This window comes from Homo sapiens, chromosome 9, assembly GCF_000001405.40.
Source record: "Homo sapiens chromosome 9, GRCh38.p14 Primary Assembly".
NCBI classification, from domain to species: Eukaryota; Metazoa; Chordata; class Mammalia; order Primates; family Hominidae; genus Homo; species Homo sapiens.
In genome coordinates, this window is record NC_000009.12 from 91,252,271 (window position 1) to 91,275,041 (window position 22,771).

General features: G+C 37.4%; 1 protein-coding gene across 17 annotated transcripts in view, besides 1 other annotated feature; it reads right to left on the bottom strand.

The window, feature by feature from the left end:
- AUH (AU RNA binding methylglutaconyl-CoA hydratase) overlaps positions 1–22,771 on the bottom strand; it is a 148,096-nt gene that overhangs the window by 38,448 nt on the left and 86,877 nt on the right. For 2 of the 17 annotated variants that reach the window (XR_007061324.1, XR_007061323.1), the window contains one exon: positions 12,647–12,788. The exons of the other annotated variants lie outside the window; for them this stretch is intronic. The gene's annotated coding sequence lies outside the window, so the exon portion shown is untranslated. The remainder of the gene's footprint in view (positions 1–12,646; positions 12,789–22,771) is intronic. 17 annotated transcript variants of the gene reach the window in all.
- Positions 6,317–6,486: an enhancer, noted in NCBI's record as "experimental_109225 CRE fragment used in MPRA reporter constructs". NCBI's record gives its function as "activates a minimal promoter by MPRAs in K562 erythroleukemia cells, with activity observed for both the introgressed and non-introgressed 9:94020954 variant alleles {active_cell/tissue: K562}" and the evidence as "EXISTENCE:reporter gene assay evidence [ECO:0000049][PMID:34662402]".

Consider the following 22,771-nt stretch of genomic DNA (forward strand, 5'->3'; position numbering starts at 1 on the left):
TTTTTTTTAGGAAAAAAGTAGTAGGCATTTAAAAACAAAACTTGTACATATGGTCAAGGAAGAGCTACACGTTAGTATGATGCCTTGGAAAAAAAGCATAAAACAGCAGCAGGTGACACATATCTAGTTCTTATTATGTGCCAGGCCCTGTCCTAAGAACTTTATCAACTTTTAATTTTCACATAAATTCTCTGAGGTGGTGCCATCACCCTCATTTTGCAGAACCCCCAAGAGGCTGTCATTGGCAGTGTGACCACATCCATCACTACGCTACCTCTCTCTCATGACAACAAAGACTGTGTGTGGCCATCTTCACTGACTCCCAACCCCACCCAGCTAGAGTAGCATAAAGGGCAGGATGGCACCTGGATTACCAAAGAGGCAAGATATTAGAAATAGACAGCAAAAGAATACTTGAAGTGCAACACTACTAAGGTATCAGTGGATGTGGATATAATACATATTTTGACTACATTAGAATAAAAGCTATCATAAAAGCCTTAAGGCAAAGAAACAAAGCCAGTAGCATTGACCTTTTGACATGGAGGTACCAAAACAATCTTTTAATTTTTACATTTTTACTACTGGACCATAATCACATATGATATAGCTGTATATGTAATGAGAATACGCAAACTTTTTGCTTCTGTAGTAGTTGTTAATACCAGTGATTTTTTTGGTTGTCTTTTTCTATACATCCAACATATGGTTTAAAATTTTTGAAAGTATGCTAGGGTCCATTACTCTTCAGAGAATAATTCATCATACAATTTCTTAAACAAAGCCCTTTCACTATTTGAAATGATTAAGTTTACCAAGATTCTACAATAATCTTTCATAAATACAGAATGAAAAGTAAGCTCGTACCTAATAAACATTGCAACCTCGGACTACATGACAAATTACTTCTTTCTCAAGGGAAATTTGAAAAAATTAATTTACTAGTTACCATTCTAATGTTTAATAGATGCACAGATTAGGGCTTTCTACATGGTATAATGTAAAGTGAGCAACTAACTAGAACTCTGGAAATTTATCAGATACTCTGATTTGAGAGATTCATATTTATCAGAAAATCATGACTTACAGCCTAAAAACTAAACTTGTAAATAATATTTTTGTTATGATGTTAAATTTATAAACACATCCCACCAAACTCTGTGAAAGCAGAAAATAAATTATGGGGTATAATAAAACACCCAAGAAGAGGTAAACCTACAGTATTATTTCATGGGCCTAAGGCTGTATGTACTGCATGCTCATCACAGTAAACCTCCTAGCCCAGAACAAACACCTTTCTATTTACATTGAACCAAATTTTTTGTCAAGTGTAATGAGGAGCTGACTTTCACGGGTTTGTGGCTCTTCTCTGATCCCTTATCTTGGTATCTAGAGAGCTAAGGACTGCAGTCATCAGGAGCCTTGCAAGCTGCTCACTGAAGCAGTTTCTGTACCCCCTTGTGGGGCTCCATGTGAATTAACACTCAGCACCTCCTTTCAGATTAGTCTATCAAGGTTATCTAAATATATCACTATGTGGTGGATAATCTTTGTATACTTTAAAGTGTTAATACAAGTAATTCTTCTGCATACAAAATTGTATTTTAATGGTATGAAATAAAGCACAATTTAAGGAGACAAGCTATAAATATGTTGTGAAAAAATTAACGTTAAGTCAAATAAATAAGCTAAGTACAGAGTGAAAATAATTACATTTCCAACTAATTACATTTCCAACTAATTACGATGGAAATAAAACTAATGTCCTTTCTGGCATACTTAAAGATTGATCCATAAACAAATTCACAGAAAGAACGTTAATAAAGTAAATCTGAATTGTCTTCAGTGCACAGGCCTCTCCCGGAAAGCAGACACAGGAAGACTGCACATCTGTGAAGAATATCTCTGGATGGTGTGCACAAACTTACTGGTTGACTTGAATTTCCCAGATTTTATAACTTGGGGCTAAAATAAAGGTAATGTAAGAGGATTAAACAAAGCACTATGGGAGGAAGCTGCGGAAAGTCTTCCCTGAGCAGGGGCACTGGGAACAAGAAGGCCTCTCCCAACAACAGCAGGGGCCTCAAATGGCTGAGACGGGGTGCAGACAGGATGGGAAGGGCAAAACTGAGCAATGAAAATAAAGTGTTCAATGCCAGGATGAGCTTATGCTTTCTTTAGTAAGCAATGTGAACCACTGGTTTTGATGTAAAGTTCATTTAGCAATCATGGATATAAATGTATGGAGGATAGAATTCCAGAGTTTAACTGTAAGATGCTGGATTAGCTCTGAGGGCAGGTAACAGAAGACTAAATTAAAAGTGTGATAGTAGAAACAAAAACGAATTCTAAACATAAGAGATGGGTAATCTAAAATAGCAAGCTGTCCATATCTCTTCAGTTAATAAAACATGTCAAGAACTGCCTATATTGGCAACCATTCGTATGACATCAATGCAACAATATGTTTACACTGAACATCATTTTCCTAATATCACAGCACATCTCTTAACTAACAAAAATCCTAAATGGCAGAATGGGACAATCAATATATCCTTAATTACCTATGTGACCTTGGAAAAGGTTCTAAGACTCAGTTTCCATATTTTTGATATGGGAGTAACCTACCTTTTAGACTTGACATAAAACTAAGAGACAATGGAATAATTCCTACCCCAGGACCTGGTATACAGCATAAACTCAAAGGAAAACTGAATCTGGAATTTATAGCCTGGAATTGAAAACATTTCAAACTGTCATACCAAAGTTGGAATAAAGTGTAAGGTTAGATTTATAAAAGGGTTTATATATTTAAAAAGTTCTCATCTCGGCCAGAGGTTTGGAATTGTAGACTTCTAATAATCTTATAAAGTCACTAAACACTAGTATGTATATATTAGTATCAGAGCAAACTAGTTAAATGTTGGCATGATATTAACCCTCAGATGAGTAAATATAGTCACAGTTAAACCCAGCATAAGAAAAGAAGTTTCATGTTCAAAAACTCTAAGAGCGATCATCCATACACTGACTGTATCTTTTGTTAAGATTTTTAAAAATTGTAATGCTTTCATGTTATATCGTCCCGAAGGAGTGGTTTCTGTTACAGTATCATGAAATATAGTGACATCAAGTATTTCATCTAGTTCTACTGTTTACGTGCTTTTGCTGTCCAAGTGTGTAATGTGAGTGATGGCAGCACTACAAAAGAATGTAGTTTTTAAAAGAAAAAGCTTTGCCCAGCTGCTTGTAATAAAATAACCAAACCTCACAGCAAGGGCTGATTAAGATAAAGATAAATATAGTAACAGATGCATAAGTCTGAAATAGATCTGAGAGAAACTGTTACAGAAGGATATTTCCATGACTGTCCTGATAAGCAATTTTTAGTGATTAAATATGCCTGGGCATATATATCTATTTTTTCATATAAAAGCTATTTATACTGCCTCCTTACAAGTTAGTAGTCATAAAATAATTTTTATTTTCAACTATCAAGTGCTAACTTGGTACACAGCAAAGTGATCATTTAGAAATGACATTTATTATTTATAATCAAAAGTATAATGTGAATTAACTTGGAAACTGTCATCTTTTTTCTCTTTTTCATTTTCAAAAAGCAAGCTAGTTGCTCATGAATTGAGGCTCTATAAGTTACGCAGCTCTATTTTAAAAATACATAAGCTCTAAGTTCTGGCATTTTATCTTCCATTTTATAGGAATTAAATATAATTAAATTTAAATAATGTCATGTAAACATTTTATTTCAGTTATATCTTATCTTAGAAACAACAAAGATTGATCATTTGTAATATATGGAAGTACTTGAAATTGCTTTTGGCTACTCCATTAAATCAGTTAGTGAGGCTTATACTGTAAAACAAATATGCTTCTACCCAGACTGTAGCAATTAAGCTTATGATTTATTTAGTGGCATAAAATAACACTTCATGAAATCTGTCCTAAAATAACATTTGTTAATAAAACCATTAACAAGATTATTCTGAAATATGACATCTTGTAATGAGACAGGAAGTGGGACTGACCTGCTACCCACAATCTGGAGACTGAGATCCAACCTGAGGGCAAAGACTATCGAGAACCCCAGATTCTAAAGACAGCAACAAACCTGAGCCTGCCCTCCTTTGGTGCTCATGAAGAGCACCTGGCATGGCACCAGCACAGCTACTGGCATCACCACCCAGACACTTCCTTCCAGCTATGCATTACGGACACGGAGAAGGGAGAGGAGGAAAGTCACTGTAGTCTTAACAAGGAGGGCTGGGATTTTGCCTCTGCTTGCTCCTTCCCCACCTTGGGGGTAGGAGGGTGTCTAAGAGGTCAAGGAGACTGAGGTGCCTCCAAGAACAGGAGACCAGCACTGCAGTGACAGCTGTCCCTGTGCTCAAGCGGCAGACTTACTGCACAGCCCCTCCTTCTACTGAACCAATGAAAAGAAAAGTGAGGGAGTGGGTAGGGAGGAGAACACTGGTGGCAACCTGCATACCTACTCTCTGGTGTGGTGAGGATAGGAGAGTCTCTCCTCAACATCATGGAAGGTACCTGGGCTGCAGCTACCTTGCCAGACCCTTACACAGAGAGACAGCCTATGAGGCAAAGACATGAGTTACGATTATTCAGCGGACAAAAATAACATAGGCTTAAAAAACATCAAAGCTTCTCTCTCCTTTTAAAATATCCCAAACTTGTAGGTATTCTTGGGTTATCTCTCGTGTTGTTCTGCCACCCGCTGGGTGTTGCTCTTGTCTCTGAGGTTGATGAGAATGTTCTCCAGTTCACATTGCAGCCATCTATGTGGGCAGAAACTTTGCCATAAGGCCATCTCCAAGCTATATGGGAGGCTAAAATGGTTATGTAGAGCTAAAATGGTTACGTTGATCTAGCTGGATCTGAACCAGGGTAGCAGTATTATTACTAAAAGGAAGAAAGATCCAGCCATTATTTGGAAACAGCTAGTAGTCTCTGCCACAGAGACTACTAGAGACTCTGCCACAGAGACTACTGGGCACTGCCAGAGACGAGTGGCAGTGCAAGATGGGGATCTGTAGTCAGACCTCCTACCTCAGGGAGCGGTGGCACCAACAGAAACCATAGGAGAGCCAGCAATGGACACATGCCACCCAGAGAACAGGAGCAGCAGCAGTGCGAGGAGCCTCTTGATCCAGCCTCCTCCCACCCCAACAGAGAGAAGGAATCAAGATCTAGAATGGGGTGAAGGGGGTCCTGGAGAGGACTGCCACTCCCTTGAAAGTGGAGGAGAATAACAAACAGATCACAGCCCCTTGCCACCAATGGGTCCCTCATCATATATGTATGTGCAGGTCTATTTCTGGAATTTCTATTTTGTTCCATGGCTCTGTTATGTCTGTTCTCACACTAGTATCCTGGTGTCTTGATTTCTGTACCTTTATAGTAAGTCTTGAAATCAGGTAGTGTTTAATCTACCAACTTTGCTCTTTGCATTTCCATCAAAATTTTAGAACCACCTTGCCATTGTACACAAAAATCGCTGTAAGTATATTATCCAGGATTGCACTGCATCTACAGATTAGTTCAAAGAGAAAGGACATCTTCAAAATACTTCATCTTCTGATCCACGAACACATTATGTCTCCATTTAAGTCTTCTTTCATTTTTGCTCAGTCATGTTTGGTAGTTTTGAGTCTACAGATCTTGCAAATATTGTGTTAAATTTAAAGTATTTCATGGTTTTTAATGCTATTGTAAATTTTAGTGATTTTTAAAAATTTACTTTGCAATGGTCATTGCTAGTACATAGAACCACAATTCATTTTATATTTTGAACTTGTATCCAATGACCCTGCTTAATTCACTTATTAGTTCCAAAAGTGTTTTGGTAGACTCTTTAAAATTTTATCTGAACATATCATGACATGTGTGAAGACAGTGTTTAAATTCTTCTTTCCATTCTGTATTTTTCTTTTTTCTTTTTGAGATGGAGTTTCACTCTTATACTCTTGTAGCCCAGGATGGAGTGCAATCGTGTGATCTCGGCTCACTGCAAACCTCCACCTCCTGGGTTAAGGGATTCTCCTGCCCCAACCTCCCAAGTAGCTGGGACTACAGGCATGCACCACCACACCTGGCTAATTTTTGTATTTTGTTAGAGATGGGGTTTCACCATGTTGGTCAGGCTGGTCTCAAACTCCTGACTTCAGGTGATCCACCCGCCATGGCCTCCCAAAGTGCTGAGATTACAGGTGTGGGCCACCGTGCCCAGCCTCTGTATGTCTTTTATTTCTTTTGCTCACTTATTGCACTGGCAAAAACCTATGGGACAATGTTGGATAAGAGTGACGAGAGTGGACAGGCTTGTTTACTTCCCCTTTTAGCAGAAAAGCATATAGTTTTTCATCACTAAATATGCTAACTGTAAATGTTTTGTAAAGGCCTTCTGTCAGTTTGAGGAAGTATCCTTTTGTTTCTATTTTATGAAATTTTTAAGAAATCATGAGTCAATATTAAATTCTGTCCAATGCTTTTTCTGTGAACATTGAGATGACCACACAATTCTTGTTTCTGTTAAAATTGTGAATTGTATTGATTTATAAATGAGATAAATCCTGCTTGGTTATGATGTATTATCTTTTTATGAATTATTGGATTTGATATGCTAAAATTTTGTTAGGACTTTTACACCTGTTTTCATGAGGGATGCTTGTCTGTATATATCTTTCATTAACTATTTTTGTATTTGGTAGGAAGGTAATGCTGGCCTGGCCTCAAACCATGAGTCTGGAAGTATGCTCTCTATTTTCTGAAACAGTTGGAGTAGAAATGATAATATTTCTTCCTTAAATGGCTGACTGAACTCACTAGTGAAGCTATCTGCTCAGAGCTTTCTTTGTGGAAAAATTCTTAATTACAAATTCAATTTCTTAAAAAAGTACAGAAGTATTCAGATTCCCTATTCTCATGTCATGTTTTGGTAATTGTGTCTTGCAAGTTGGTGAATTTGCTCCTATAATGTTTCTCATAATATTCTCTTTCTACTGTTTAAATGTCGTAGGATTTGTAGTGGTGAATGATCTTTCAATCCTGATTTTGGTCATTTGTGTCCTGTCTCCCTCTGACCTCACCTCTGACCTACCACCTTTCATTTCCTTGATCAGGTTGGCTTTTTTTTTTTAAACATTTTCAAAGAATCAGCTTTGGTTTTACTGATTGTTCTCTATTTGTGCATAACCTATTTCACTAGTTTCCTCTTTTAAGGTAAAAGTTTAGATCACTGATTCTAGACCTTTTTTCCTAAGATTTTAAAGTTATAATTTCCTTCAAGCATTGTTTTATCTACATCCCACAAAATTTAATGTTTTCATTTTCACTAAATTCAAAAATACATTCAAATTGCTCTTGTGATTTCTTACTTGACCCACAGACTACTTAGAAGTATATTCTTTTATTTTCCAATTATCTGGAGATTTTAAATATGTCTTTCGGTTTTTTATTTCTAATTTAATTCCACTGGTGTCAGAGAATATATTCTTATGTCAGTTTTTTAAATTTGAGGTTTCATGGTCCATCATTTTATTCTGATAAATATTCCACGTGCATTTTGAACGTGAATTCTGTTCTTCTGTTGAGTTCTCCGAAAATGTTAGGTCAAATTGTTTCCTAATACACCTAAAGTTTTCTATATTCTCACTGATTTTCTTTTTACTTGCTCTATCAATTATGTAATCTCCAACCAAAACAGTTGATTTATTTATTTTTCCTTTTATTTCTGGAAATTTTCATTCTATGTATATTGAAGTTCTATTGTTATGAAACATCCCTTCTTTATCTTAGGTAATATTTCTTGTCTTGAAGCCTAGTTTGTCTGGTGTTAACATAGCTGCTCCAGCTTTCTTTTCTATTGTTAGCATGGCATATCTCCTTCTATCCTTTTAGTTTTAAACCTATACTGTATGTTTATGGTTAAAGTGTGTCTTTTATAAACAGCATGCCATTGAATCTACTGGTTTAATCTGACAATCTCTTCCTTCTAACTGTATTGTATACAAAATTTACATTTAATGTAACTATCCACATGAGTTTAAACTTACCATCTTGTTGTTTTCCATTTTTATCACCTGTTGTTACTTGCTCTTCTTTCTTTTCCTGTCTTCTTTGGAATGAGTGTTTTTAGTATTCCATTCTATCCTCACTACTGGCTTACTAGCTGTATTTCTCTCCATTTTTAGTGGTTGATCAACAGTGGCCTTTCTCAGCTAGGGCTTTATGAGAGAATACAGCTAACAGGAAATAATATGAATACTTTAAAATATCCCAATGATGGTACATATACCTCTTAGATGCACAGGACAGAAGTTAATTCATTATGTACAATAGAAGTCTTGCAGAAGTAAAAATTAATTTTCACTCAATTTGGGGAAGTTTTGGCCATTACTTTTTAAAATATTCTTTCTTTCCCCACTTCTACTGTTATATCCACTGGACCACTTGATAATATGTATATACAATAGACCCAGGTCACTGAGGCTCTGTTCGTTATAGTTTTTAGGTCTTTTTTCTTTGTGTACTCTGGTTTCCACGGTGTCTATTTCTGTGTCTTCAGATTCACTAAACTTTTCTTCTACAGTACCTAATCTGCTGTTACTTCCAAAATTTACAATTTCTGAAGTAAATAAATGCAGCAAAATTTTCACTTCAGAGATTGTACATTTTACCCCTAGACATCTCAAATAGTTGTTTTATATCTTCCATTTCTCTTATTAGTTTTTTTCTTTTAAATCCTTGAGTATAAACGTAGTCGTGGCTTTGAGATCCTTTTCTGCCAATTCCATCATCTCTGTTTCTACTGACTGCTTCTGCTCCTGGGTCGTATTTTCCTGCTTCATCATCTCTACTACTTTTTTATTGGTTGCTAGATATTATGTAATTTTGTTCTGTGCTGGATTATGCTGTATTTCTTCAAAGCATATTGAATGATGTACCAAAGGCAGTTAAATTCTTTGCCAAGCAGGTGGATCCTTTTGGGACTTGTTTCTAAGCTTTGTTAAGACAGGCCTAGAGAATTCTTTATTTTAAGGATAGTATGGCCCTACCAAAGCATAATCCTTCTGGGTTTCTACTTTCTTCAGGGTGTCCTACAAAGCCTCTTTAATCTGCTATTCAGAATTTTAAATGTTCCCAGTTCACTTCTGTGTGAACTCTGGGAATTAGTCTGCTTACAGTTCTCTTTCTCTGGTAGTTCCTTTGTGGCTTTGTTGAGTTTTATCAAATGAAAGCACATCTTGGCAATCACCAACCAACTCAAGGTCACCCTCGTGCAAATTTCTGTTCTTCTGTGTAGCTACTTCCTATCCTGTGTTGTATCTCACATATTAATCCACTTCAGCCTCCTCAGAATTCCTAGGTTCCTCTTTCTTTCACTGTAGTCTGGAAAATGCCTCTAGGCAGAAAGCAGCAGTGATTTTAGGACTTCCCTTAGTAGATTATTTTCTCTCAGGATCACAGAACTGTGCTACCTGTAATCCAGTGTATGAAAACAGCTGTTCCATATATTTGCCCAATTCTCTAGTAATTTAAAGTAGAAAGACACATTTGGTCTCTGTTACTCTGTTACTTTCTATTTCTCTGGAAATAGAAAAAGGGTACTTTTGAATTAGACTTGAGAATGAAGTTTTGAACTGAGCCAAATTAAGCAGGCACCTTTCTCTTGAATAACCAAAAATGACTAGAAAGTTACTGAGTCAGTCAACAACACATAAACCAATGGGAAAAAAAGATTTTTAAAAGTTCAGTTGAAGGCAATAACTAGAGAAAAATAAAAGCATTTCATGTTTATACTCCACTTAGTTCATACTGTTCAACAAACTGCTTTGTTCTTTAAATATTATTTTTGCAAAATGTCATCAAGATAAATTCGAGTTAACTAACATCATTAAAGAGTAGTTTATACATCCATTACTCGCCAACCTTAAATTTACATCAGTTATGTTTCTGTAAAACCCAGTGTACCTGAGATAATTTTGAATTAAATCTGCTTTCTAATAGAAATATTTTAATGTAGTATTGCATTCCTAATCATGAAGAGGTTATCTGAGGATGACAGGATCATCTGCAAGAGGTACCAAAGACCTAGACCAGCTATTACGGTCTTCCCTCGCCCCTCCAACACAGCTAATCAGACAGCATTATTTCCACTGAACATGAACATGGCCCCAAACACTGTGACCAGGCTGAGCCAGCATATGAGAGTAAACTTAGCCACTTGTACCCTATTTCAATAACAGCTATTATAAAACTTAAAAAGCAGTTGCTATGAGCCAGGCACCATTCTCAAGCACTTTATACACTCCATTTAATCCTCACAAAACTCTATGGCACTGACACATCCATTACGGTAACACTAAAGATTAGAAAACGAAGTCCCACAATTGGAGTGGGGTGGGGGCGTGGGGTGGGGACAACATTCATGCCTAGGTGATCTAGTTCAAAACTCCGTAACTACTCCATCAAGGGCTGGCAAACTATGGTCAGTGAACCAGCTGCCTGTTTTGTGAATAAGTTGTTTCTGCCAGGATGAAAAAATCACAGAACTTTCAGATATAGTCATATAGTAGAAATTTGCTTGGGGAGGGATAAATAGGAATTATCGATCTCACTTACAGGCCACAAAAGTTGCAAGTGGCCATGGCAACAGGTATGTTTCTTGAGTGTTGCAGGCACTTTTGTTCTGCTGCAGTTACTGCAGTGTTGCTGTGTTTTAAGATGGTACTCCACATGTTCTCCCCAGGTCACTCTACTATGGGTTATCTTTAGAGTAGAAGCAGAACAGTGCCAAGAACGCAAACTAGGTCTTTGCTTTTGAGTCAACTGCAAATGACCAAATGTCTATTTGATGCTTGGAATACACTGTTGGAAAGGATTCTGAAGCCCCATCCTCACTTCTATACCATGGTTTACCACAGGATATGATTTGTGTCATCAATGACTTAGTCTACCAGATTCAGGGCTGAATTTCACACTTATTAAAAGTGAGCTGTATTCACTTGTTTCTATATCTATACAACTAATAGTAAAAAAGCACAAATGTTTTCAGGAAAAAGTGTTAGGTTTAATAATGGGAAAAATAATTGTTCATGTGACTTTTTGTTGTCGTTATCCAAAATAACTCAGTTTTAAAAGCCAAGTGTGAAGAAAAAGTTTTCATATTATTTTATTTAAGGCTAGTATCAAAGAGTTCAGACAATTATTTAAACTAACTCTTTAACAAAACTTCATTATAGGTCTAGATTAGTGAAACGCCAAATTAGGAAATATTTTAAGTGTTTTGTTTTCTCAAAATATGTAAATGTAGAATAAATCCAATAACACTAGAGAATTTCTGTTTCCACATTCCCTCCCTATACCATGACCCATTCCTCAGAATAAATTTTCTGACTATTCTTGTATTTCATTCTTCTGGTAGTCATCTCTATATCCCTAAATAGTAAACTTGTATCTAGGTTTCTGGATTTAATAATTTTACATAATGTCTACTGATTCTCCTAAATTTAAAAATTAGAATTTAGCTCATCTACACTAATCTTCAACTGCCTCTCCCAATTTTTAGCTCTTCTACTAGTTGTGATTGTAAGTATACAGAATATGATTACATTCTCTGTTTCACCAAGTCCACCATGTATATCAATTTCTCACTGATACTGGAGCCACAACACACTTTTCCTCTGAGCTTCCACAACCCACCTTAGGTAAGCTTCACTTTTCCTATAACATCAAGATTATAACCACTATCAAGACTTTATCACAGACTAGCTGTGTTGAAAATCAGTAATCAGTATCTGCAATATTATATATACACACACATATATGTGTTATATGTGTGTGTGTATATACACAATTTAATACCAGGCCAAGAGGTATACTAAAATTACATTTCATTCTTTACAAATCTAATGTCATAATCTGACCACTACAATAAATTTTAAAAATCTAGTTTTAAGATTAAATGGACCCACTTTTCTTGCTGATTGCTTAAAAGCCTGACCTTCCCCTACAAACTGAGGCATGAGTGGAGGTTCTCCTAGGATTTCTAATTGCTTTTTTTCTGGGAGCATAAGGTTGAAGTGGAGATAGATGTTATCCCCAAGTTGTCAACCATTGTTTTGCTTCAAGAGTCTTTTGTACTCCTGTTCCAATTTGGAATGGCTGTTTTCTGGACTATTGTATAGCCATTATTACCTCAAAGACCTGCTTTGACTGTGCAATTAGGTTGGTTCCTCTAATTCCTGAAGGCCAAGTCTCTCTTTCTTGGTTATTACTTTGTTTTCCTGGAGTACATACTCAACTATCTTTCTGATAAATGTATTTGGGAGGCTGGGCATGGTGGCTCACAACTATAATCCCAGCACTTTGGGAGCCCACGGCAGGAAGACTGCTTGAGCCCAGGAGTTTGAGACTGAGAACAGCTTGGACAAAATAGTGGGATCCTATCTCTAAAAAGCAAAAAGAGGTATTTGGGAAGCTAACTTTTCTAGGCCTTGCACATCTGAAAATGTCTTAACTTTGCTATCTTATATCTAGACATATCTTTGCTATCTCATATATATCTATATACACCTCAGGTACAGAATTCTAGGTTTAAAAGTGTATTTACCTTTGGGTTTTGTAGGCAATGCTTATAGCATCCATGTTGCTGATGAAACAACTGATGCCAGCTTAATACTTCTTCACACACAGGCAACTTGTTTTTCTTCCTCTCTGAAATCTTTTATGATCTTCTCTTAATCCTCCGAGCACTGAAATTTCACAAATACACACCCACAGTGACTCTTTTTCATTAACTGTTCTGGCTTTCAGTGGGTCTTTTTAATATAAAGATGTGTGTCTTTTCCATCTCTGGGAATTATCTTCCTCCACTATTTTGATAATTTCCTCTCCTCTCTTTCCTTTTCTCTAGCTTCATTAAGTCAAATGTCAAACCTCAGAGGTTAATTCCCCACATATTTGCTCTTGCATTTTTTTTTTTTTTTGGTCTTTGCTCTACATTTTAGAAGGTTACTTCAACTTCATTTTCTCACATTTCTACTTAAATTTTCATTTCAGCAATCCTTTAAAAAAAACCTAATAGCTCTTTTTTGTAATATCATTGTTTCTGTATTAGCTGTTTCCTTAAGGCTCAGTTGTTTTTCTTTCACACTGTCAATTCTCCTCATGTACTCCATGACCTCTTGGTTATGTGTTCTTTAAGATAGTAACACCAGGAGAGTGGGAACTGTTCTCCTCCACTCGTGTCAGTTGGCATATTTTGGGGGAGGGCCTCCTCCCTTAAGGGGGAATTCTGAACTCTATTTGCCCCAATAGGCAGGCTTTACTTGATATGAACAGAAAACAGTCTGACTATCGAGCAGTAGACTCCACAGAATGAGAAGGATTTTATTGTGCAACATCAAAATCCATATCATCAGGAGTCTTAGTTTTCTGAATTTCGTCTCATGTCTAAAGAAGTCAGTTTTTCTGAAAACTTGCATATCTTCAGAAACCTCTTTGCAGTACATTTAGGCTAGGGCTTTTCAACCCGTCTCATCTGTAAAATCAATCCCCTCTTCCTAAAGAGTTATATATCTCATTTGTTGATGCCTCCTTTCCCGTTTTCTTTGGTATTCATGTTTGTAATTATACCTTTTTTTTTCTCTTTTATAGTTTATGTTTTCATTTTGGTGAAGCCTTAAAATGAGAAGGCAGATGACAATGCTCAGTAACTAGTCTGCTTTCTTGACCCAGAGCCTTAATGATTTTTAAGCTTATAAAGGAAAGTTACGGCCGGGCACGGTGGCTCATGCGTGTAATCCCAGCACTTTGGGAGGCTGAGGCGGGTGAATCACAAGGTCAGAAGTTTGAGACCAGCCTGGCCAACATGGTGAAAAGCCGCCTCTACTAAAAATACAAAAAATTAGCTGGGCGTGGTGGCAGACGCCTGTAATCCCAGCTACTTGGGAGGCTGAGGCAGGAGAATCGCTTGAACCTGGGAGGCAGAGGTTGCAGTGAGCCAAGATCACGCCACTGCACTCCAGCCTGGGTAACAGTGTGAGACTCCATCTCAAAATAAATAAATAAATAAATAAATAAATAAAAATAAAAAATAAAGGAAAGTTACAATCACACACAAAAGTAGGGTAAAGACCACAATGAAAGGTCATGTACTTGATGGCCAACCTTCAAAAATATCTGTAAGCCAATAACATTGGTTAATTTGTGGCCTCTACAATAATAAACCCTGAGCAAAGCCCTCTATAACTGGCTCATATGGGTAAGGATTACACAATATCTAGAAACCAGTTGATAAAAATGAGTGTCATATAATTTGATTTTGTAACCAGGTCAAGAGTTCTTTGCAATATCTGCTACACAGGTTCACAGAATAATGGTCCAGAAAGGTACACCAGGCCTCACAGAGTCCAGTACTCTTCTTTAACAAGTAATAAAAATTCAAGAGTTGGGTGTGTATGCCCCTATGACTGGGGCACATAAAGGAACAGGCTCAGGCAATCTTAATCACAGGTAACTTAGAGGTATGTATAGTTGAACATAAACATATATTTTAAGGGTTAGATAGCAAACTTTATAAAAAATTATTAAACTGACATTTTAGACAAAGTATGCCCATGTGACAGACTGCTAGTGCACTCCGTGTGTGTATGTTATATTTTGGTGAGAAGTCTGAGAAGCACAAAGCTACTCAGGAGCAAAACCAGATCTCCAGTACTATAATCCAGGTCTCTTGATTATCAGTCCAGATGGCAGAAAGGGAAGTGTCAGCTTAGCCTACAGATGCATCATTGAAACTTAGAACTAGCAATGCATGCCCTAGAAAGGTGCCCCAGCTACTAATGTAAAAAGCCATGGGATAACTAACATGTGTATGGCACTTTCCAGTTTACAAAGCAGTCTTTAAAAGGTAACAAATATAATGTCTTTAAAAAAAAACTTTGCAATACAGATACTATCATCACCTTCATTTTACAGAGAAAGAAAAGATCAGAGACCCAAGTACCTTGCCATAATTAGCAGCCTGTCACACAATTAGTTAATGGTTTAAACCCTGTCTCCTTAACTCTAAACCTTTACAATGTAGGATGAGGCCCATGTTTTTCATTTTCACCATTCACCTGCTCCCTTCTTACGGTGTCTTGCTCTTGTTTAATGGCTCTAACAGCCGAGTAGGTTAACTCAAGGTTTTCCAATGTATGTCTTCAGTTGCCTGCACTTTTATTCCTTTGGGCCGCATCTGCTTGCCCCTCAGAGTCTTCCGCAAGTGGAAAGCAAGTATGAAGCTACCACAGGGAGTACACAGCATTCTCCCTTGGTAGTGGTTGCAACTGAAGAGGTAAAAGCATTCCACTGAAATGCTGCATCCTTGCTGTTAGTGGTTTAAGGGAGCCTCGGTCTATGATTCAGAAACATTTGGTTGCTTCTTCTCTCAGGTACTGAGTACTCCAGGCAGGCAGGGCAGAAAGGTGATGTAGGGAGCTCATTTCCCCTTTCCTAGCCCCTTTTCTCTACTCTGTAAATGCATTCCTTCACCTAACACTACTACCACCTTTTCCATATGAGTTGTTGGAAGATGACAACGCGGATTTGCTGGTTCCAGCCCCTCCACCCACAGATATTGCACTTTTGCCCAGAGCCCCTAATTCTGGACTCACAGATCTATCCTCCTAACTTCCAGTTTCAGCTACGGGCTGCTCTGGTCTTCATACATTAACTCCAGATGACCAGGAGGATGTTCTCAAGCAGAAAAAATGAAGACCAGACTAAAACCCCACAGAGTCAACCTCCACTCAAGGACCAACAATCGTAATAAACATCATCATTCCAAATTCAGTAGCTTTTTACCATTAAAACTTTATTCACGCAGAAACAGTTTTCTTTTATACATGAAAGCACAAAGTGCTCCACCTAAACTTTGGGTTAAATTAGGCTTCAGCAGTATTCCATAGGTCTTCTCATCCTATGTAACATTTCTATAATGAGAACATACTCTGGTTTAAAATAAACTCATTCCAACATAACTCATATCTATGTTGGGAGGGCACAAAATTTAAAGTGTTTGCAGCCATATGAAAGTGCAAGGACCACACACACACTGAGAAAAACATAACACTTCCTAGACATTTTTTTTTTTTTAAGAGACGGAGTCTCACTCTGCTGCCCAGGCTGAAGTGCAGTGGCGCCATCTCGGCTCACTGCAACCTCGGCCTTCCAGGTTCAAGCGATTCTCCTGCCTCAGCCTCCTGAGTAGCTGGGACTACAGGCGCACGCTGCCACATCCAGCTAATTTTTGTATTTTAGTACAGATGGGGTTTCACCGTGTTGCCCAGGCTGGTCTCAAACTCCTGAGCTCAGGCAATCTACCTCCCTCAGCCTCCGAAAGTGCTAAGATTACAGGCGTGAGCCACCACGCCCGGCCCATAGACCTATTTTTTAAAACCCATAATACTTCTAGTTTTTATGACAATATGCCAGTTGTAACTATTTCCCAGTCTTCTTTGAGGTAAATCCATACATATTCAATTGTGATGCTTCTAAATATATTCAAGGATATGCATAATACAATATCTAAGCATGTATTTAATAGACAAGAATATAAAACAAGATGCTGGCATGACTACTATTATATCAAGGTTTATCCTACTGAGGTGGTATGATTCAGATAATTAACACTTTCTTTTTTTTTTTGAGATGGAGTCTCGCTCTGTCACCCAGGCTGGAGCACAGTGGTGCGATCTTGGCTAACTGCAACCTTCACCTCCTGGGTTCAAACGATTCTTCTGCCTCAGCCTCCTGAGGAGCTCGGACTACAGGCGTGCGCCACCATGCCCAGCTAATTTTTGTATTTTTAGTAGAGATGGGGTTTCACCATATTGGCCAGGCTGGTCTCGAACTCCTGACCTCGTGATCCGCCTGCCTCAGCCTCCCAAAGTGCTGGCATTATAGGCGTGAGCCACCACGCCAAGCCAGATAATTAATATTTTCTAAGCATCTAAGAAACCAGTCTTCATGAACTCCCTCATAAAACATAGATTAATTCACAGAAACACTTACGTGTCTGGAAGGCCTACAGTGAAAATATGATAGAGACAGACAGTAGTCTAATACAAAAACTATGTAGTGACAGATCTAAATATAAACGTTTAAATTTTCCATTTCATTAGTTCATACTTAGATTGAAAGATAAACATTTAAATTATTTTCAATATATGATTCTGCTAGTAATATTCTAATTTCAATAGAAACCAAGTGCCTTTAATGAGAAAAGTACATTTTATTCTGTATTAATGAATTTCCAAATGTAATGTTTCAAGTTTAGTCATGTTATACTTCTAACCGTGTCACTTTAAAATTACGAGAAGGAAAAGAGGGATATATTTTGTTCATTTTAATAAAACTACATGATACAAAATGCAGTTGAAGAAATGTTTGAGTTCAGCTACCCCTTTATGACACACAGCATCCAGTCACCAATGATGGCTTTAAACACTCGTGCTCTGGGAAACGTTCCTAAAATTTTAAATACTATTCCACAAAACAAAAAAACATTGCCAAATCCCTTTATGACATGATACCCAGATCTGTACAAACCTTATCTTCAAAACCTAACTACAAAGAGAAACAAAGTGTTTACCTGGCTGGGTCTACAGAGCTAGTGTAAGAACTGTCTCCCAGCAATGGAGTTTAAACTGGCATCAAACTCTATCAAGTGAGCCAGAAGAACACTTTTACTAAAATTAAAATTCCATTTTAGATTTTAAAAGGATATGCTTCTTAAGCCAATTAAAGTTCCTGTGAAGGTTGTAAGCAACTAAAATTGACTCTGGTTAGCATAAGGAAAGGGGATTTTTGGAAGACTCTCAGAGACCATCAAAGGGAGGCTCCAAAAGATAACATACAGAGACCAGAGAGACCAACTGGCAACATGCAGGGAAAGGGTCAGCACATCTCCATGGAGACTTCCAGGGCTGCTGGGCTCCACCTCCCACTGTAAAGCCCTGTGGAAGAGCCCCAGGCTGCAGAAACTCAAAGTTCCACACCCAAAGAGAAAGGAGGTGGAGGGGGCCCTGGTTCGCTTCCCTAGTGGGAACAGCCCTGTGCTTTCCTCATAGAAACTGGGGTGTTCTCAGGAAGGAGAATAGATCCTGGACAGCTAAAAAGCAACAAACGTCTACTGTAGATTCTCAATAAGCCAATGATACCAATATACTTCTCAGTATAAGTCTTCAGATGAATTTAGGTTATATTCACACTGTTTTGGCTTCTGTAAGACTCAAAGTAGACACCCCTTGTAGAGCAAAAAGGGAATAAACACCTTCTGCTTGTGCTGCACCTAGAATCTTTGTTCAATTCTGACTGTGATCAAAATGAATAAAGAATCAGTATTTGACCTACCCGGTGCCATATGTGGTACCTATCAAACCAAACAAGGTAGCAATGCACCCACCAAAATACACTTGTACACAATCCAAATAAGTTTGCACACCTGTATTTATCACTTTGATATAAAGAATAAGTTTGTTTCAATGCTTTTAAAAATATATTTTATGAATAGTATGCATAGAAAAATTTCAGTTGGAGGTTGCTACTGCCCAATTAAAAAGGATGAAAAAATAACTGTCCTAATATGATCAAACTACCTTATAAAAATACTAATGCATGAATTGAATTTCATGTAGAATGAGTCAAATATTAATAGTCCAAATAGGGAAGATATATAAATTTTTATTAGAAACATGTTTCAAAACACTTCTTTAAAATAATAATTTTTAAGTTTCCCTTCTCCAAATGGTCAGTGTTACAAATTTGGAAATATCCCTCATATAGATGTACTCAGGAGTTAGCTAAAAGGACATTTGTTTGTTTGCTAGAAACGAAGCAAAAGATAAATCTGAACTTAGAGCAGCATTCATCAAAACACAATCAAAAAATGCTTTACAACAAATTCAATAGAAAAGAGCATGCTTCCAAATGGTAATGGTGGTATGTGCATTTGCTTGCAGAGACAATTAATACATGCAGCTGGTGTCAACCTTCCGTAAATTTCAATCAAAGCTTGACAGCTACCAGTTATATTTCACACAGAGTAATTATAGCAAATGGCATTCAGGCTTAATGTTCTGCCATTTCTTTTTTTTCTGAAATGTAATCAACAAGATATTAAGACTGCTTCTGCTTAGTTTTCTTTAATATTCACAGTGACAAAAATAAATATTCAGTCTAAGGCATTTAGTAAAAAATGTAAGTGAGGAAAGAAGACTACGTTTAGTAGGGCTTGTCCTATGACAATTACTTCAAATATATGTAGCCTTTCTGCATAATAAGATATTATATTAGTCCTTCTATAATGCAATACAAAATCTTCAATATGCTTTGTTGTTGTTGTTTTTGAGAAGTTTCGCTTTTGTTGCCCAGGCTGGAGTGCAATGGCGCAATCTCAGCTCACTGCAGCCTCCGCCTCCCAGGTTCAAGCGATTCTCCTGCCTCAGCCTCCTGAGCAGCTGGTATTACAGGCGCCCGCCACCACGCCCGGCTAATTCTTTGTATTTTTAGTATAGACGGAGTTTCAACATGTTGGCCAGACTGGTCTGGAACTCTTGACCTCAGGTGATCCACCCGCCTCGGCCTCCCAAAGTGCTGGGATTACAGGCATGAGCTACCGTACCCGGCCTAAATATGCTTCTAATTTTCTATAATTCCAAGACTTTTCTATATATATTGCACAAGCATGTGAGTATCAGGCATCAAATGCTTTTGTATGTTAAATAAGGAAACACAACAGCAGCTCCCCCTGGAAATTGTGTTATTCTAAAAGCTGGTGCTCCTACACATTCTTTATGTGGTGTCACAACTAAAATAGACATTAGGATAACGAACATATGGTCCAGATTTAATAGGCCATGTGCTTCAATTTTTATAGTAAAGTATTTAAAATGTCAATTCTTGTATCCAAATGTACTTTTAAACTTCATCCCACAATAATTGCCTATTTAATCCCACTACACCTGTGCCTGCTGAAGTACACTTAAGGTGCTCTCATGCTCCCCCAGCTTGCTACTCTTTTAAAATGTTGCTTTCTACACATCCCGTCAGTGTCCTGGGCCAATCAGCACATCTTAGGAGTCAAGGGAAATCCTGAAGCCGAGAGCACTGTGCGTTTGCCTTGCTCCTCCCTGGGCCTCCATTCGGCCCAGCAGAAATGGGAGCAGTGCCCAGCACCCTCCCACCTCTGTCTTAAGACCATCAGGATTCATCTGAAAACACCCGATACCCATTCTAATAACCTTCTCATTCACATTCTTTCTCCCATCTTCTGCTTAATTTTTCCATCACCACATTTACTATGGTCTAACATAGTATATATTTTATGTATCCGTCTGCCTCCTCGAATGTAAGCTCTATGAAGGCTGGGGGTTTGTCTCTGTTTACTACTGTATTTCCAGCCATTACTAACAAGTATCTGGTGCATAAGCAGTACTCAATAAAATAATTATAGCTGAATATATTTCACAAACTTACAAACCAAAAAAAACTTCACTGTAAAATCAAGTAAGACCTAGTAGGCATAGAACATACTCTAAAGAAATAGGAGAGCAAAATACTGACTACATAACATTTGTACTTTAGCATCAATATACATCACTGACTGGGATTTAGGAGAACAGAACAATACACAGCTGTATCAGTCAAGTTTCTTGGCAGCTAGCAATGGATACCAACTTTAGCTGAAGAAGAATTTGCTGAAAGGTTTTTGGGTGGCCCCCGAAACTACCAGGAATGCTGAAGAATTATGTTCAAAAAGGGCAAAAACCAGTAAGACACCATGAAGCAGGACTGAAGCCCCAAGCCACACCCGAGAGGCCCACTTCTGATAAGGACCCTGCTGCCCTGGGCAGAGACAAAGCTGCTGAAACTCAGCAGGGACCCAGAGATTTGGAAAGGGGGATTAAGATGCCGGCAAGGTTAAAAACACACACATGCACACAAAAAGGTTCACTATAGTCATGGTGTACAACACCCTTCACTTGAGTACTTAGTATAAACATCAAAGAGAAAACTCTTCCAGGTATTCCTTGTAACACAGTTATCTCCTAATAGCTGCTATAGGAGCTATTGGTGATGACAGGATTCCACTATAACTGACTAGTATGAAAGTGTTAAGGTTCAGTGGCTATTAATTAGCACTGTAAGTGAAAATAGTTGAAAAACTATGATAAATTTCACATATTTGAACAGCAATTTAGATTTCTGCAATATCAACTGGCATTGAAAATGTTACATTTATTTAAGGTCGCTCAAAATAAAGGTACCAAATTGAAGTATTTAAAACCCTCTGTCTTTATAACAGATGTTTTTAAGGCATCAAAAATAACATGCATATGTGTACATTCATGAGGCAAATCAGTAAAAAATAATTACACAGTGGCCCCCAAACCAGGCATTGGCAGGGGGATACCTCCAGTTCCAGAGCAATCACTGACAAACAAATTCAGTGGTTTGCATCTTAAAAGGATCTGAGCTCTTTGACGAACAATTTTTGCCACTTTAATTCTGCACAGCCATAAAACACAAATAATTCCAGAATCTTAATATACTTTCTTTTCTCTCTTCTCAGAGGTGGAAAAGGGCTGACCAGGTATATTTGAATTTAAGAAAGACAATCTGTTCTTTTGAGTCTAAGGATTAAAAATAACGGGCACACAAGAGAAGGTCTCTCTCAAGGTGTTATGTAGGGCAGGGAAACAGGTACTGAAACTGTGCCTATTGAAAAGCAAACTACAGCAACAAAAGAAATGGAAACAGAATACAAACGTGCAAAGCATACTGATTATTAGCAGAAACAAATCCAAAAAAAATATATAAGCCTATTTTCTGGGTATGCCTCCTAAAAATCCTAGAAAATACAAAATATAGAGAAAATCATTTTATTTCATTTAACAAATATTTACTAAGCACCTATCATGTAATGAGCAATGGGCTAGATACTGTTAATACAGTAGTCAATCAAATGAAACAGTTCCTTCCCTACTGGCACTCAGAGTGTTATGATGACACATCAATGACCTCATCAGCACTAGCAAAGAGGTGAAACTGCAAACTGGAAGATGACAGGATGTTATAAGGTTCTTATTTCAATACCTAAGGATGTGTTCTTAATATACTTGAATTAAAAACTCAAATCCTTTAGGATTTTACAATACAGTACTTATTTTCTGTTGAATTACTAGTAGTAGTTGTAAGCCTTATGAATAATTAGCAAAAAATGTATAACTGCAAAGTCAAGTGTATAAAAATTGAGAAAGTAAATATCAGATTGGCAACTCAATTTATATTTCTAAATAACAGAGGACTTAATCCACATTAAATAAATCTTTATGTAGGTTAACAACAACAAGATGAAAGTGAACTTCAGATAAGGAAGATAAACATCTACTAAACAGTCAAATATATAAAATTAAAGCATAGAAAAGGCCCCAGATCCATAAACCTGGCTAACCAAGCTTCACCTAAGGTTCCTGTTCAATTTTGCTAAAGAAGGCTATATGACCAATCCTAGGAGAATTAAACTTCCTTAGTAGTTCAAAATGATGCTATATCTGAAACTTGCTCTCTAAGGGAAATTAAACTGAACTAGTTGCTCCTAACCACACAGAAGAGAGTAACAATTAGGCAAGGAAGGGGCTGGGATAGCAAAAGAGAAAAAAGGACATCCATTAACACTAAAACACAT